Source organism: Homo sapiens, chromosome 16 (genome assembly GCF_000001405.40).
Source record: "Homo sapiens chromosome 16, GRCh38.p14 Primary Assembly".
Taxonomy (NCBI): Eukaryota; Metazoa; Chordata; class Mammalia; order Primates; family Hominidae; genus Homo; species Homo sapiens.
The window spans coordinates 70,686,855-70,701,968 of NC_000016.10; the positions used below are offsets into that span (position 1 = coordinate 70,686,855).

The 15,114-nt window shown below is 60.8% G+C and overlaps 1 protein-coding gene across 3 annotated transcripts in view, besides 8 other annotated features; it reads right to left on the reverse strand.

Moving 5' to 3' along the window:
- Window positions 585-15,114, reverse strand: part of VAC14 (VAC14 component of PIKFYVE complex) — a 113,720-nt gene continuing 99,190 nt past the window's right edge. For 2 of the 3 annotated variants that reach the window (NM_001351157.2, NM_018052.5), the window contains 5 exons: window positions 11,783-11,957; window positions 10,285-10,403; window positions 8,690-8,769; window positions 5,967-6,117; window positions 585-1,236 (listed from right to left, as the gene is read on the reverse strand). In NM_001351157.2, the coding sequence (NP_001338086.1) occupies window positions 1,074-1,236; window positions 5,967-6,117; window positions 8,690-8,769; window positions 10,285-10,403; window positions 11,783-11,957 (688 nt within the window). In that variant the 3' untranslated portion in view covers window positions 585-1,073. Of the gene's footprint in view, window positions 5,196-5,966; window positions 6,118-8,689; window positions 8,770-10,284; window positions 10,404-11,782; window positions 11,958-15,114 lie in introns of all 3 variants that reach the window. The other variant, XM_005256038.5, reaches the window with a different exon arrangement.
- Window positions 727-1,233: an enhancer, noted in NCBI's record as "H3K4me1 hESC enhancer chr16:70721484-70721990 (GRCh37/hg19 assembly coordinates)". NCBI's record gives its function as "activates a minimal SCP1, AML or CMV promoter by ChIP-STARR-seq in naive H9 embryonic stem cells {active_cell/tissue: H9 hESC(naive)}" and the evidence as "EXISTENCE:reporter gene assay evidence [ECO:0000049][PMID:30033119]".
- Window positions 5,332-6,159: an enhancer, noted in NCBI's record as "H3K27ac-H3K4me1 hESC enhancer chr16:70726089-70726916 (GRCh37/hg19 assembly coordinates)". NCBI's record gives its function as "activates a minimal SCP1, AML or CMV promoter by ChIP-STARR-seq in primed H9 embryonic stem cells {active_cell/tissue: H9 hESC(primed)}" and the evidence as "EXISTENCE:reporter gene assay evidence [ECO:0000049][PMID:30033119]".
- Window positions 6,160-6,985: an enhancer, noted in NCBI's record as "H3K27ac-H3K4me1 hESC enhancer chr16:70726917-70727742 (GRCh37/hg19 assembly coordinates)". NCBI's record gives its function as "activates a minimal SCP1, AML or CMV promoter by ChIP-STARR-seq in primed H9 embryonic stem cells {active_cell/tissue: H9 hESC(primed)}" and the evidence as "EXISTENCE:reporter gene assay evidence [ECO:0000049][PMID:30033119]".
- Window positions 6,986-7,811: an enhancer, noted in NCBI's record as "H3K27ac-H3K4me1 hESC enhancer chr16:70727743-70728568 (GRCh37/hg19 assembly coordinates)". NCBI's record gives its function as "activates a minimal SCP1, AML or CMV promoter by ChIP-STARR-seq in primed H9 embryonic stem cells {active_cell/tissue: H9 hESC(primed)}" and the evidence as "EXISTENCE:reporter gene assay evidence [ECO:0000049][PMID:30033119]".
- Window positions 7,812-8,637: an enhancer, noted in NCBI's record as "H3K27ac-H3K4me1 hESC enhancer chr16:70728569-70729394 (GRCh37/hg19 assembly coordinates)". NCBI's record gives its function as "activates a minimal SCP1, AML or CMV promoter by ChIP-STARR-seq in primed H9 embryonic stem cells {active_cell/tissue: H9 hESC(primed)}" and the evidence as "EXISTENCE:reporter gene assay evidence [ECO:0000049][PMID:30033119]".
- Window positions 8,638-9,464: an enhancer, noted in NCBI's record as "H3K27ac-H3K4me1 hESC enhancer chr16:70729395-70730221 (GRCh37/hg19 assembly coordinates)". NCBI's record gives its function as "activates a minimal SCP1, AML or CMV promoter by ChIP-STARR-seq in primed H9 embryonic stem cells {active_cell/tissue: H9 hESC(primed)}" and the evidence as "EXISTENCE:reporter gene assay evidence [ECO:0000049][PMID:30033119]".
- Window positions 10,291-11,117: an enhancer, noted in NCBI's record as "H3K27ac-H3K4me1 hESC enhancer chr16:70731048-70731874 (GRCh37/hg19 assembly coordinates)". NCBI's record gives its function as "activates a minimal SCP1, AML or CMV promoter by ChIP-STARR-seq in primed H9 embryonic stem cells {active_cell/tissue: H9 hESC(primed)}" and the evidence as "EXISTENCE:reporter gene assay evidence [ECO:0000049][PMID:30033119]".
- Window positions 11,118-11,942: an enhancer, noted in NCBI's record as "H3K4me1 hESC enhancer chr16:70731875-70732699 (GRCh37/hg19 assembly coordinates)". NCBI's record gives its function as "activates a minimal SCP1, AML or CMV promoter by ChIP-STARR-seq in naive and primed H9 embryonic stem cells {active_cell/tissue: H9 hESC(naive and primed)}" and the evidence as "EXISTENCE:reporter gene assay evidence [ECO:0000049][PMID:30033119]".

Here is a 15,114-nt window from a genome sequence, read left to right on the forward strand (position 1 = left end):
TGGGGGAGCGCACTCTGGGGAAGAGCAGGCACAAGCTCCTTCTCGCCTACTCCATGGGCCGGAGGGAGCCAATTACAAGCTCATTAGGAGACCAAGCCCAGGGTTCCCAAAGCCTGGGGACAGGTGGTACCACTCCCGGTGAGGAAGGGCTTTCAGCTGCAGCAGTGGTTGGGGCACCTGCCCCTCCCTGGACTGCTCTGGGCTTTTCCTCCCCTTGCCCCGAGATCTGCAAAGTGTTCTGCAGTGTGCATTGCCCTTTCATCCAGGAACTCCTGGGGCTCAGCTCCCATGTCCCCAGTGGGGAACTCCCATTGCCCCAGGGAGTCAGGATGAGAAAGGCAGATTGGGGAAGGCAGGGTTCAGGATTCCAGGGCAGGCAGTGCATGGTGCTCTCCAGGAGGGTGCAGGTTCCAGAGGTGGGGACCTAGGCTCTAGGCCCATGGCTCCACTCAGGTGAGTGCAGGGACCAGGCCCTGGGGCAGCCAGTACTCCTTGGGGCCATCATGAAACCCGATCTCCAGGACAGAGGGTGAGGCCCCCGGACAGCTGCACGTGTCAGCTGGGAAGGAGCAGGCCGGCTCGGGTTGAGGGTTTTCTGTTATTTCTTTATTGGGGTGGGGGTGGGGTGCATCATTCAGATCTTTGTGCTGGTGCCTACGTGCATACAAGTACACACACACACACACACACACAGGCATGTGTTCACGTATGTATACATATACACACAAGGCCAGAGCTCTAGTGTGCTGGAGGAGGGGCAAGCTCTTTTTCCAAGAGGGTATTAGAAAGAGGTTGATTCCAGAGGATGAGTGGTCTCTGAGGCTATAGCCCCCCACTGGGTGGGCAGCCAGCTCTGTGAGAATGCCAGGGTGCAGCTGACAGCGCTGGAGGCCTGGGGACTGGACTCTGAGAGGAGCTTGGGCAGACACAGCAGCCTCCGGCCCCAACACTGCCCTGGGTTGGCAGGCCCAGCCCTGGTCCTGACAGGCAGGTCCTTGAGCTCCTCGGGAGGGCGTGACGACCCTTAGTGTTTCATGGGACCACTCGGTGGGCCCTCCTCCGTGCCAGGCCTGTCAGAGGACAACCCTCCGGTCCAGGTGGTCCCCACGCCCGCTCCGCTGGTGCCGCACTTCCAGGTGCTTGTTCTGGACCTTCTCAAAGTGCTGCAGCAGCTCTGCGTAGTCGATGCTAGGGGAGTCAGCTTTCTGGGACTTGGGGGCTGCCTTTAGACTGTCTCTGGGAAGAGGGAGCAGAAATGCTCAGTGTCAGGGATCAGCTCACAGGGGGGTTACTGCTGGAGGGCAGTGGGGTCAGAGGCAGAGCCACAGGCTGGTGGGCTCGGCCTGTGGGCGTCTGTCTCAGGCCTGGCAACTCTTCCGTCATGGCGGGCCCCAGAGCTGGGAAGCCCCTGAGCATCCCCCTCTTCCGCAGTTGGTGGGAACAGCTAACACTGCTGCTTGGCTATTGCCCTCGGCCTGTGGGCTGGCGATGGCGCCCAGAGCAGGCATCGCATTGGGAAGCATTTCCTGTTTACGAGTGGCTCCCTTTGGGGTGAAAGCCAGGGCTAGCAGCCAGCCAGGAAGCCAGCTGGGGCCTGGAACAGGGTCTGGGGAGAAGGGGGAGGTGGCAGCTTGGCCCTTTCTCTGAGAGGCAGGGCTAGGACTGGGGAAAATGGGAATTGCTGAAGAGCCTCTGCCGGGCCCTCCACTTGGCAGGACATTTGTTTTTGAGTGTTGGGGCCCCAAGGCCTGCAGTCACTCACTGTCCCTGGGAGGAGGAATGCCGGTCTCACCACTGGACATGCCTACAGCTCCTACATTCCTGTTGCTGCCACCCTCTCCAGTTGCTCTGTACAGCAACACAGGTTGTGCACTGCACAGCTAGTGTGCATGATGCTCCCTATAATGGTGCAATGCGGTAGCCTTGCTGTCCCTGTCAAGCCCAGTGCTTAGCTTGCCCCTGGCGATGAGATCCCCTTGGGCTCCTGTCCTGTTCCTACTCACCCTCCAGCAGTGTCTCATGAAATGTTCTGCTCCCTCCCTTTGGCCTCACTGGTTTGGAGGAGCAGATCCATGTGGGCTAGGAAGTATCTGTTTCCAGGCCCTGAGGCCTGGTGGACCTGGGAAGGGGTCTCAGGAAGACTGTGGGCTGCTCAGCTAAGCAGAGAGTCTTGGGGCCCTTCAAGTTTATGAAAAGATGCCAATCGGCGGGGCCGGGAAGGGGGGTGCAGGCACTGGCAGAGCACAGGATCTAGACAGACCTGGACCCAACCATAACTCCACCGCTTCCTAGCGGTGTGACTTGAGCATGTGACTGTTTCCTCATCTGCAAAGCGAGGGCTACCTAAGGAGCGGCCCTGGGGTGGCTGCCAAGATGCCTTGACACGATGTGTAAGAGCTTCACCTGGTATCCAGCCCCAGCTTAGGTATCTGGCAGGTGCCACTGTGGCTACAGTTCTGCCCCTCCAACGTGAGGCCAGCCGGGGCCCAGCAGCTTGAGGGTGGAAATAAAGGAGGCCATTTTGGGGGAGACAAAAAGGAGCTCCCCCAAAACGAACTCTTGGCCATGAGTTCAGTCCAGCAGGAAGAGTCAACGGCCAGAGCCTGACAGTTGCTTCAGGTGGCCACCAGCCTGCTGGGCAGGACCAGGGCAGGGGGACTCTTCCCACAGTTGAGATGCCATCTGGGGCCCGGAGGCGGCCTCCTGCACCCCTGCTCAGCTCTGCCTGCCCACACCTGTTCCCTTCCCGCCTCCCTGCTGAAGATGCACCACCAGAAAACATCTTGGACATGTCTACGGCTGCGGCTGCTGCTTTTCTGGGCCTGGCGCTCCTGGCTCCCTAGCGGGGCTCAGCTGACTTTAGTTCAACAAAGATCAAAAGCAGCTGGGCGGGGCCATTCTAGAGGGCCAGGCTGTGGGCAGTGTTCTAGGCTGTGGTTGCTACTGGGAAGGGACCTCCCAGGCACAGTAACCTTGGGAACCAGGTGCCACTGCTCCAAGAGAGCAGCTTGGACTTCTAAGGAGGCCAAGGGCCACCCCGGAGCTTGCAGCCCTAAGTCCAGGGTGTGGCCAGACGCTCCTCTAACCCACTTAGGCCAAGGCCACAGGTGTGACCCTAAAGTGTGTCTTCTGATGCTGGGCACCCACAGGTCTGTGCGTTGCTCCCCATGACACTCCTGGCAAGCCAAGGCCTTAGGTTAGGGGAGCTTAGGGGCCTTTAGAGAGATGCTCTCAGCACTGGATGGCAAACCCGGGAAGATGGCGTCGGTGTGGCAGGGTTGGTCGGGGTGGGAAGAGTGGGCCACATCTGCTCCCTGGGCCCTTAGGGTGGCAAGAAGTCCTGCTCCCTGTGATGGGCAGACCCTTCCTGGCCTGAGATCTTGGGAGCAGGGCGGGCTGTGTCACCGGGGGTGGGTGACACTGCCTGGGCTGCTGAGCACAGAGGCCAGGCCCGCTCTCCCTGCCCCACCTAATGCAGATGGCTGCTCTCAGGCCCTGCACATCTTCTGTAGGTCCATAACCACCCTCGGGCACCGAGGCTGAGGCCAGCCAGCCCACAGCACAGTGTGGCAAGTCCAGGACTCAGGGCCGGCTCTCACTCTTGCCATCCCACCCATGCACCTGTTGCCAGCTTTTTCTTAGAGGTTCCCTCCTGCCTTACTGAGGAGACAGTCACTGGGGAGTGGCCCAGAAGCCAGGGGGTGGGGGAGCTGAGGTCCCCAGGGCCTTGATGGCACTTGGAGCACACAGAACCAGGGATGGGCGAGGAGTGTACAAAACTCTCCCAGCTGTTCCCAGCTCCAAGGCCTGCCCCGCAACTCGACCCTGTCTGCCAGCTGTCTGCCCCTCCCAGGGCTGGGACTGTCCTCAGCTCCCTTCCCAGGGTGTGAGCCGTCCTCTGGGCCCCACCCTGCAATCTGACCCCTCCCCCAGCTGTTCTGAAGTCCCCTGGCATGCCCACTGCTTCTGTGCCCCTATCTATGGTATCTCTTCCTAGGTCGTTGCAAAGTAAGGCTGGGGGTCCAGGGCATTGAAGGCTAGGGGGTGTCTCACACACCCATTTAGTCCAAATGTGCATTTACTGACCAAGTAACCAAGAACCCAGAGAGGGCACTGGGCTTGCTGGAGGTCACACAACAAATCCATGGCAGAGCTCACACCAGATCCTACTCTAGGCCTGCAAAGCATCCACTGACCCTCAGAATCTTCTACCCAGAGGCCTCAACCCCTTGGCTCAAGACTTCCCTGACTGACCGTGGGAGATTCTGAGGAAAGCCTCATTTTCCCAGCTTCCCTCTGCAAACTTGTTCTACCCTGGTTTGAGGAGTCTGACTGCTCTGAGCCTCTGCTCCCCTCCCAAGACGAGGAGATCAGCACTCGGAGACCCGGGAGAGGCTGGGCTGGCTCCCTGGCCAGGAGGACTCCCAGGAAGGCAGGCTGGTTCCCACAGGGAGACTGGAGGTCACAGGGAAGCAGCCCTTCCTGCCTCCTCCCTGCTTCCGGCTGCACCTTCCCCTCCTGGGTGCCTGCCAGGTTGACCCTAACACTATGGGGCGTTGAAGGGCCAAGGCAAAGGCTGGGCCAGCAAGGCCCGGTGTGGCTTCTAGGCCTCTCTCGGAGTCTCTCGGGAGCTGACAGCACTCCGGCCCCAGGAACCCACACATGCGCCCCCGCTCCATGGCTGACCCTGCTCCCCTGGGGACACTGCATCAGGTGCTGTCTTCTGGGGACCACCTGGCAGCACCCTGAGCAGCTGGGGTGGCAACCGGCTCAAGGCCTAGTCCTGCCACTGCAGGGCACTGCCTTCTGGGGAAATGGGGCAGGGAAGGCACGAGCCGGTCTTGGTTGGGGCCACACTTTCTAGGGGTTCAGCCTCTCCAGCTGGCCTGGGGCAGAGAGCCTATCAGGTGCCCCACACTCAGCCATCCGAGGGCCAGTCTGGGTGGGAGGGGCAGTGGGAGCCGATGCCAGCGGTGTGGAGGGCACAGGGCCTCCGGGCAGGCCTGTCTCAAGGCTGCCTGTGTCCATCGCAAAGGCGAGCACCCGAGGCCCTTTGCTGGAGCAAGGCGCCAGGCCTGCTGAGTGGCTCTAACAGCCTGGGAGGGAATTCTAGACACACAGGGCATCTGATGCAAGCTGGGCGCGCTCCATTCAGCGTAAATCTTCTCAGTGGCTCTGCTGGTTTCCATGGCGACCTGACAAGTGAAATTTTCCATCTCGGATGCCAAATGCCTGTGGATGAGGCAAAGCCTCCAAGGGTTACCAAATATAGATGCAGCCCTACAGGCTCTGGGGTAGGGGCCAGCCGTGGGTTCAGGGTGGGAGCCGGCACTCCTCTGACCAGAGGCTGCCAAGCTGGGCCTCTTGGTGGAGGGGTGCCTAGGACCTGTTCCTTCCATGGGCAGGACCTGAGCAGGGGAGCCTTGAGTGTACCCCTGCCTCCCACCCCACCCCGGAAGTGGCTGAGAAGGTCCTAGCAATGATGGGGTCTCCCAGTGACCCAGGGTTGAGCCTCTGCCACAGACAGGGTGGGGAGGGGCTATGTGAGGCCTGGGAGGTGCCCAGCACAGACAGCCACTGGGGCCCCCATCTCTAAGCTGGGGCAGGAACTCCTCCCCCTGCCCGGTGTTTCTCTCCAGGGTCCTCTGTCTGGGTAACTCCAGATGCCCTCAGAGTTTTTAGATTTTGCATAGCCTCACTGAGCTGGACCCTGATTGCCTGGAAGTGTTGCTACTCCCGGCCACCGTGTGAGGGCTCCCAGAATCCCTTGCTCGGTGCTCTGATGTGGACACAAGAGGCCAAGGGGCAAGTGGCTGCGGGGGGGATGGTGGTCACAGTGACAAAAGGGGTGGGATGCTGAAGTGAGGGAGGCCTCAGCAGCCCCTGGCAAGGCCCTTCCTCACCAGGCTCCTCTGGGCCTGTCCCTGCTCAGGGGGCGGGGGCAGCAGTCCCCAGCCGGCACTCACTCGGTCTGCAGCAGCTCAGGGTTGGGCACGCACTGGAGCCGGTGCGAGAGCAGCTGGAAGGCGCTGCTCTGCGGCAGGAGCATGAGCAGGCCGTAGAGGGCCTTGATCAGGTAGGGGTTGTTCTTCACGTCCAGCAGCTGCAGGCGCAGATCTGGGGTAGGCAGAGGGCAGGGGTCAGGGACCTGGCACTGCTCTGGGACACGCCCAGCCCACACTGCCTGCCTCCGACTGGCCAGGACCACCTGGGACTTGGTGCCATGGCACCCACAGCCCAAGGACCCAGCTGTGTGGACCCAGCCAGGTGGCTGTGGCTTCCAGCGAGTCAGGGGCTCCTTCACAGCCAGTCGCGCTGCCCCCACCTCCCCCAGGAGTGTCCTAGCCGTTTCCATGATCTCATCTTCCTTTCCACCTGCCCACCTGCCTGTCTGATCTTTCCAACAGTCACCTCAGCCCCACAACCCCGAGACACGCTGTGGGGCCTGGTCTGTTTCCCGCCCCCCGCTCAGCTGCCTCCCTGGTGATACGAGGGCTCGGGGCCTGTAGTGTAACATATTCTCCAGTTGGCTCCACACGTGCCAGCACGGGAGAGCTATAAATAGGGTGTGCTGGAGAGAAAGACGGTAGATTAGGACAGCTTTAAGAGAGGGCAGGATGGAAAAACGCCTTTGTGTGTAGCGAGACACACACCAAAGCCCCGGAGCGTCTGGGAGGTGCTTCTGGGGCTCCGGCTCACATGCCAGCCCTGCCACCACCCTGGCGGGGGAAAGAGATGCACCCGGGGGGCTGCCCAGCACTCATTCCAGCCCAAGCTGCAGCACGGACCCCGCTGGTGGCTGGCTGTACCACAAGGCAGTCCCAGCTTCCCCAAGGCGCACAGGGGAGGTGGGATTGGAAACGGGCTCACTTTTCTTCTGCGAGCCTCTCCAGGAGAATCACTGGCTTCTACTTCCTTGTGTCCCTAGGCCCAGTCCAGGCATTGTTTGTGGAGGATATGCCATGTGCTTTGGGAGAGGGACTATGTCACCCCTGGAGCGGCCACACAGGGGGTCCCGCTGACAAAGGGAACCTGAGCACCAGGCCTTAGGGCCAGGGTGTTGGTGCGCAGGGAGCAGAGGAATGGAGGCCTGCTGGCGCCCTCCAGAAGAGACCCCCACCACCACTGTCCTAGGCCTGGCTGCCCAGCAGAAGCGCGAGCCTGTTTCCAGTCCTTTCTTCCCTTTGGGCCTTTGGGAAGCAGGCACTGCCGGTGGCCACACCAGCCACCTCTAGGATCCAGGCGACTCAGGGCTGGGACGGTGTTGGGCGAGACCAGGGTGTGTCTCTCCTGTTACCCTGCCCCAGCAAAGCCCTGGGCTTGAGGAGAAGGTGCTTGGAGTTCCTCCAGGGTCAGGGAGGGAGGGCAGTCATCCTAGGGATGCTTCTGGAATGCCAAGAATGTACAACTGGAGAGATGAGTCAGGACAGACCAGCAGCAGGAGCAGGGTCTTTTTAGGATCTGACCTCAGGCGGCCGTGTGGGTGCCTGTGTCCCTGGGAGGCCCTCGGGGAAGTGTCACGCTGGGCACACCTGGGACAGGCTTTAGCGCACTCTGCGGAGAGCAGGGTCTCCCCCCTGCTCTTCTGTCTCCAGGGCATCAGTTCCTACGGCACCCTGCTGCTTGATGAGGCTGCCCTTTGAAGGGGGCTCAGGAGGGGATGGGAACGGGTGTTCTTCAGCCCCTGCATTCAATTCAGGCTCCAGGGCTCAGGCTGATGGGCTTAGGCCGGGCGGGTCAGAGACGCTGCCAGAGAGTGGGAGAGGCCGGGTGGCCAGCTTGGCAGGGAAGGTGGCCACCAGCAGAGTGGCCTCCTGGCTTCTCTGCACATTATAAGCACATAAGCGTCATTCAAAGTGTGTATGTTGAGGTGCTGAGAGCTGTGCTCGCCCCAGCCAGCTGCCACTTTTGCACATTCAGCCTGGGTGTTACTAAGCAGGCAGCTCCTGCCCACTGGCTCCCAGCAAATGCCAACTCTTCTTTCAGAGAGGTACAGGCATGGCTCTTGGGCCAACAGGAGCACCTGCAGAGGGACTCGGGACCCACAACTTCAGAGAGCCAGAGCAGAGGCAGCAGACCCGGAGGGGTGGCTGGGGACAGCCCAGGGGCCTGGTATCAGCCTTCAAGGGGGTTCTGCTGTCAGCGCTGGCTCATGTCCAGGAGACTCACTGTGAGGGATACAGGCAGGATCCAGGTTCTGATGCCACGTGCCCCAGCCCTGCTCTGGCTGGCCTTGCAGGCCTATCATCCCAGTCTTTTTTTTTTTTTTTTTTCTGAGGCAGGGTCTTGCTCTGTCACCCAGGCTGGAGTGCAGTGGTACAGTCACAGATCACTGTAGTCTCAACCTCCTGGGCTCAAGTGATCCTCCTACCTCAGCCTTCTGAGTAGTGGTGACTATAGGCATGCACTCTCATGCCTGGCTAATTTTTAAAAAATTTTGTGCAGATGAGATCTCACTATGGTGCCCAGGCTGGTCTCGAACTCCTGCCGTTAAGAGATGCTCCAGCCTCAGCCTCCAAAGTGCTGGGATTATAAGTCTCACATTCTCAACATTCCAGAAGCTTCCCTGGGGTGACTGCTCTTCCTCCCTCCCCAGCCAAAAGAGACCAACTGGAGCTTGACTTCACCCACCCCACTCCAGGGCAGCCTTGGACTCATGGCGCGAGGTGTGGTGGGAGGTGGTTCTTACATGTGAAGATGGGGCACTCAATCAGCTGCACCAGCTTGTCCACCTCTGCGAGGAAGTCCACGGTGACCTCCAGGTCCCCACTGGGTGTGCAGTCAAGGAAAGTCTGTCTGCTGGGCCAGCACAGCCGCAGCTCACAGCACCACACGCCCTCCCCCCCTGCACCTGGCTTCCTGTGCACAGAGCCTGGTTGTGGTGAAGCAGGATTTGGCGCACAAAGGACACCAGGCTCTTCCCTGTTCCTCGCCTTTCTGTCCTAAATGGAACTCCCCTGTTCAGGAGTTCCAGGTTCCACTCTAGCAGCTGTCTCCTCTGCACCCTCCCGGGCTGGGAGAGGCTCTTATCACAGCGCTGCAGCCCGTTGGGGGAGGGCTGGGCAGGAAGGGTTCTCTCCTTTCCTGCCAGCAGGGCTGCAGCAAGCTTGCGGCACTGGGCAGTGGCCTGCCAGTCTCTGGGTGACAGAAGTGGCTGAGAGGAGCAAATCCAGGTTGTAGAAGGGAAGCAGGCACACTGTGGGGAGCCAGGCAGGGCCACACCTAGCCCTCCACTGAGGCACCTCCTGGTCCCTTCTTCCTTACTCCCAACTCCTGGCTGGTCATGTTGCCTTCTAAATAGCACTCCAATCCTGGGTTACATGTCAGGCACCCATGGATGGGGCTAGTTTGCTTACTGGTGTTTTAAAAAAAATCTGGCCAGGCGCGGTGGCTCACACCTGTAATCCCAGCACTTTGGGAGGCCGAGATGGGCAGATCGCTTGAGGTCAGGAGTTTGAGACTAGCCTGGCCAACATGGTGAGACCCTGTCTCTACTAAAAATACAAAAATTAGCCGGGCATGGTGGTGAACGCCTGTAATCCCAGCTACCTGGGAGGCTGAGGCAGGAGAATCACTTAAACCCAGGAGGCGGAGGTTGCAATGGGCCAAGATCGCCCCACTGCACTCCAGCTTGGGTGACAAAGCAAGACTCCACCTCAAAAAACAAAACATCTAACTCTGGATGCCTTTTGATGAGCGCAGTGCTGAGGTGAGAATGGGTGCCTCCTGCTTCTGAGGCCTCTGCCCAGCCTGCTTCTCCCCAGTGTGTCATCCTCAAGCCTGTCGGGCTCTAGCTCTGTGGCCCCCGAAGGCCCACGCCTGGGCTGAAGCCTGCAGGCTCACCCAGCCATCCACCCATATTCCCAGCTCCAGGCCTTCTCCCCCACCCCCACACCAGGCCCAGGAGGAACTACAATGAGCAGAGGGCAGCCACCTTCTCCCAGGGGCAGGAGCTGGGGTTCTCTCCCACCCCAGCAAGATGGTCCAGCATCACCCGCTGGCACCTGCCGGGCTGGGCCTACTCAGTCCCAATCCCAACCCACAGGGTTTCTCCCGGGCCAGCTCCCCCTCCAAGAGCCCCTCTTTGCTGCCAATCTCGCTCTCCCAAATACGTCCCTCCCCTCCCAGTGTCCTGGCAGCCCTGATGTCACAAGCCCTGAGGCTGAGTGGAGGGGTGGGGACAGGAGCATGGCACTTGGGCCCGCCTGTTGGGTGGAAAGGGGGCAGCCGGCCCCTTCCTGCCCCTCAGAGGCTCAACCCCAACCACAGTGAGAGGAAGGATACAACTTCTGGATGAGGTCATAGGCGTGCCGGTAGTTCTGGGTGAGGAAGCAGAGGGACACCGTGGTGACTGGGTTGTGGCACCAGGAGCGGTACAGGCAGCAGAACAGGTTCTGGCTCTCCTGTGGGGGAACAGGCATGAGCCGTGAGGACACGCCTGCTCCTTGCCCCTACCCGGTCCACGTGGGGACCTGAGGGAAGGGCCACAGGTCTAAGTCCCAGGGGCCTTCAGTCGGGGGCAGCCAGAGCCAGCTTAGCACCCCGGCTGGGAACGAGCCGTCACAAAGGAAATGCTGACAGCTCCTTCGCAGACCCTGTCATTACCTCCCAGTCCCAGAGCTGTGTGGTGGCTGCGAGGGCCTGGCTGGGAGTGGCTGTCCTTTGTGCTGGCATGTCTGCCCTTGGCAAAATCACAGTAATTGTCCCCCCTCCCCACCCCAAAGAACTCTGTGGTCCCGGAGCCCCATGGGGCTGGGATGATGATGGGGGAGTGGGCAGGGAAGGGAGGAAGCACACTTAAATGCCATCTCCTCCCCACCTCTGCAGTCCACTTCGAACACTTGGAAACCACCCAGGAACCCAGCCCACACTTGGGGGAGCCCTTGCCCCCGAGGAAAATTCTTAAGGCCTCTGCGAATGTCTGGAAGGAACCACAGGAGGGAGGCAGGGCTGTGGCCTGGATCGTGCAGAGCCACTTGGCCCCAGATGCCCCCAGACATGGGCCTGGATATCCCCGAGGCTCCTGGGGAGGGTGTAAGCAGGGTCTGAGCCGGCAGGGGACCTGGGAAATGAAACCCCTGGAGTCCCTGCCTCCAGGATGACCCCTGTCCCCGCACGGCCTCTGCAGCCACCACCCCAGCCGGGACACGAGAGGCCTGGGACCCGCGTCTCTCCTTGTTCATAGGGGAGTGAGAGTGAGTGAGTGTCCTTTCTGCTCTCTCTGACCAGTCGTTGGTGCATCCCCATCCAGAGCCTGGGACGGATGGGCAACAAACTTGACACCTTGGCTTATGACAGGTGCCTTAGGAGCCAGATGTGCCCAGCTGTGGGAGAGAGGGGCCAGGCCAAGGAGGGCGAGAAGAGCTGTTAACCCCTGATTCGCCAGCAAGGTTATAACCCAGAGGCCTGGCCCTAAGAGGGTGGCACCACCATGCAGGGTGGGCCCACGGCCAGCAGAGCCTCTGTTTTCAAGGGGGCAGTGCCTGGAGTGGGACTGGGGTGTCAACCAATGGAAAAGGCAGGGCTGCTGGGGGGTCAGGGTGGACACGTGGACCCTCCTGCGGGCAGAGACCTCAGTGTGGGTGACGTGACGCACCCATGGTTAGTGCTGCGCAGCCACTCACCCGGGATCCCTATTTCCCAGTGGACCAGGGGAAGTCTCGATTTCAACCCCGTCTTCTCCCTGAGAGCCTCCTGGGGCCAGCCGAGGGGCGGGCTCACACAGGGTGTGCCCCCTGGCATGCAGGAGACGCCTGAGGATGGAGTCCCGGACGCAGCCTACCAGGGTCTTCAGGTCCTTCAGCTGGTTCCTTAGCTGGAAGAGCTCTGTGGAGGTCAGCAGGATGGTGTTGAGGGCGTGGACCATGGTCGAGGCGAACTTGAGGTCCTCCTCCCGCAGCAGGATGTCTGCCATTGAGTGGAAGATGTTCTCCGCATTCAGCAGGAGGCACAGCTGCCTGGAGAGCAGGCAGACTGGGGTCAGGGCGCAGGCCGACCTGGAAGGCTCTGTGTCTCAGCCTGGGAGGCCTCCTCTTGGTTTTGCAGCGTCCTGGGGAAACTGCTCTTTCCTGAGGCCAGTGTGGAGCCATGACTCTGAGGCCTGTGGTTGTGGGAGGGCGGGGAAGGGTGGGGGGAATGCCGCACCTGCCTCTAGGCCTCCCAGCACTGCCTACCTGGGCCTAGCCACGCCAGGGCGCCCCACGCTATATTAATCTCCCGGCACAAGAGAAACAGCTGGGCCTCCAGCTACCCAAAATAGTTCCTGAGATCCCGTCACCTTCCTGAACTCCCACATGTCTGAGCAATGGCCCCCACCCCAGGCCAAGACACGCCTGTCCCCTGCTGGGCTTTCTTCTCTTGCTAGAACTCATCTTCATCCAGCCAATTCTCCACACATCGGTCACCTGTTTACTGCCCCACTCCTCCTCCTGGAAGCCCCCGAGGTCAGGGATTTGCACTGTTCGGGCTGTACCCTGCGGCCTGGAGCACAGATCCGTGTGGGATCAGCGTTATGACCCTGAGTTTTTTCTTCACTGTACGGATGGTGAAACTCTGGTGAAGTGACTTGACTAAGGTCGCAGAGTCACTTACGGCCAGAGTCACTTAGGGCTCGCTGGTCCCTGGGCCATGACCCCTTTCCCATCTCTTGTCTAGTTAAGAGTCGTTCAGGGCTAAGGATCGGACTTTGTGAAGAGGAGCCTCCCTGTTATACAAAAGGCAAAAAGGGAACCCAGAGGATGAAGAAAAGCAGATTCCTCAGGGTCCCTGGGCCGGATGACACGAGCAGTGAGAAGTGGGTGGTGAGGACAGGCTTGGAGGAATCCGCGCTGCTTTTCCACGTGCCCTTGGAGGCCTGGCCTGCAGGGGAAGGGCACCTGGGCAATGCTTCCCAGCTGGAGTCCCAGGGATTCGGGAGCTTCCCCAAAACAGCATGATGCAGGCAGGATGGGGCATGAGCGGGGTGGCTGGTGAGAGGGTGGTGTGCAGCACTGCGCTTCCTGAGTGCTGGGCTGGCGGCAGCGTGGCACCCCTGCCCACACCACCTTCCGTCTGGGGCTAAGCTCCAGTGCCTGACGCCGCATCCCGTCTCCAGGGAAGCATCACCACAGTTCCAACACGGCGTCGGAGGCCCCGAGGTCTTGGGTGCTCAGTGACGTGAGCCACATTTCTTGGTGGGAGGCCTGAAACACCTCCATCTCCTCCTAGGTCGCTGGACTCAGCCTCCGCTCCGCATGACCTGGGCCCAGCTTCCCAAATGCCCCTGAACGCCAGCCATGGCTCTGGGGCCAGGCTGGAGAAGATTCCTCCCCACCCCCAGCCCCAAAGCAACCCCAGAGCATTTGGTAACAAAGAGGCCAGACCACAAAGCGCAAACAGTAGGCAGGCCGTTCCAGCCTGCCCCGGCTGGAGCCTGCAGGCCTGGGCAAGAAACCACGAGAAACAGAAACAAGCGGCACAGGGAGGGGGTGGCGGCCGCACGAGTGAGGGCCGCTTCATCTCCCCGCGCATGCCACCAGGACCCTGCCATGCCGGGGGCTCCCCTGGGGTTAGGTGGGAGGTGAAGGCCTCCGCCTGGTGTCCCCAACTACCAGCGGTGTGATCTCAATGTCTCCGCACAATTTTTCCACCTTAATTAGGGGCAATACCTATCTGTGAAATAGGGGGAAGTTCTCAGAGGGCAGCCTGAGGACGAGGAACAAGCCATGTAAGGCTAGTGTGTGGAACTAGCCATGTAAGGCTAGTCCTCTGGGGAGCTGCTGGCTGCAGAGGGAAAGCCCAGCCAGGCAGCCTCAAGCCAAAGGCCAGGAGGTGGTGGCCCTGCTGCAGAGCCCAGACAGTGCTTCCTGGCCCCTCCCGGTCCCCCAACCCCTCCATGAGCCCTGTCTCCATGGCTGTGGGACAGAAATGTTCCAGAAGGGCAGGCACAGGAGGAAGGGGGGCGTTCTGACAAATGGTCACAAGTGCCCGTCGCCGGCAGCTGGTGCCGTCTCCATGACAGAGGCCAACAGCTGAGCCGCTGCCAGGCAGCGCTCTCCAGGGATCCAGGCCGGCAGGCGGGACCTGTGGCAGCAGAGGGCAGGGTGGTGCCCATGTGAGGGCAGGCTGAGGAGGGTGCGGAGGGAGGGACGGAAGAGGGGCTGGTGGTGAGGAGAAGCGGGCACCCAGACCTCCTGGTGTCCCAGAGAAGCTGGGGAATGCTGACTGTGTTACAGAAGGTCAGGAATAGTGGAGTTTTCTGGAAACTCTTCTCTTGCCACCAGTGATACCACCCTCTCCTGGTTTTCCTCCCACCTCTCCCCCAGGGCTGGGGTAGCCCTTCCGCTCTTCTCTCTCTAGTCTGTGCCTCTTGGTAGTCTGTGGTCCCAATCAGTGACTCCCACACATGCCCTCCGGCCCTGAGCCCCTGCTGGGCTCTAGATGGAACAGCTGCTTGCCTGGTGGAAGGCCCTGCCTGGCCACCTAGCAGGCATTTCAAACCTTGCTGGGCCACAACCAGCCCTTGGTGTCCCCATAGACTTGCCAACCCCCTCCTCATCTCAGTAAACGGTGGCACTGTCCACCCAGCTGCTCAGGCCCAAACCACGAGTCATCCTGACCCCCAGTCCCTCTGCTGGGTCCACTGGCACGTATGGGGGCCTTACCCTGGGAGCACAACCTACACGGCCACCCTGCCCCACACACCCGCCCCCATGCCTAGGGGGCTGTCAGCATCTCCTGCCTGGTCCATCTCCCCATGTCTCAGGATCTGCCTCCTGCTGCTTCTCCTGCCCCCACAGTCCACCCTCCACACACCAACTGGACAATCCTAAAACAGGCCCATCAGAACATGCCCCTCCCTGCTGGGATTTGCTAGCGGCTTCCGCCTGGATCTGAAACAAACCCAGCCCCTCACCTCGGCCTATAGGGTCTCACACCTCTCGCTGGTTCCTCTCCAGCCTCCCTCTTGCTGTCCCTCCTCCACTCACGGCATTCTAGCCTCTTGGGTTTTTTGGTTCCTGACCTCGCCAAGCCCACGTGGCCCTAGAGGCTCTGCCTGCTCTGCCCTGGCCAGATGGCTTGGCCAGGAATGGCACGTGGCAGGCTCCTCCCAGACATCGAGGCCTGGGCTCCAAC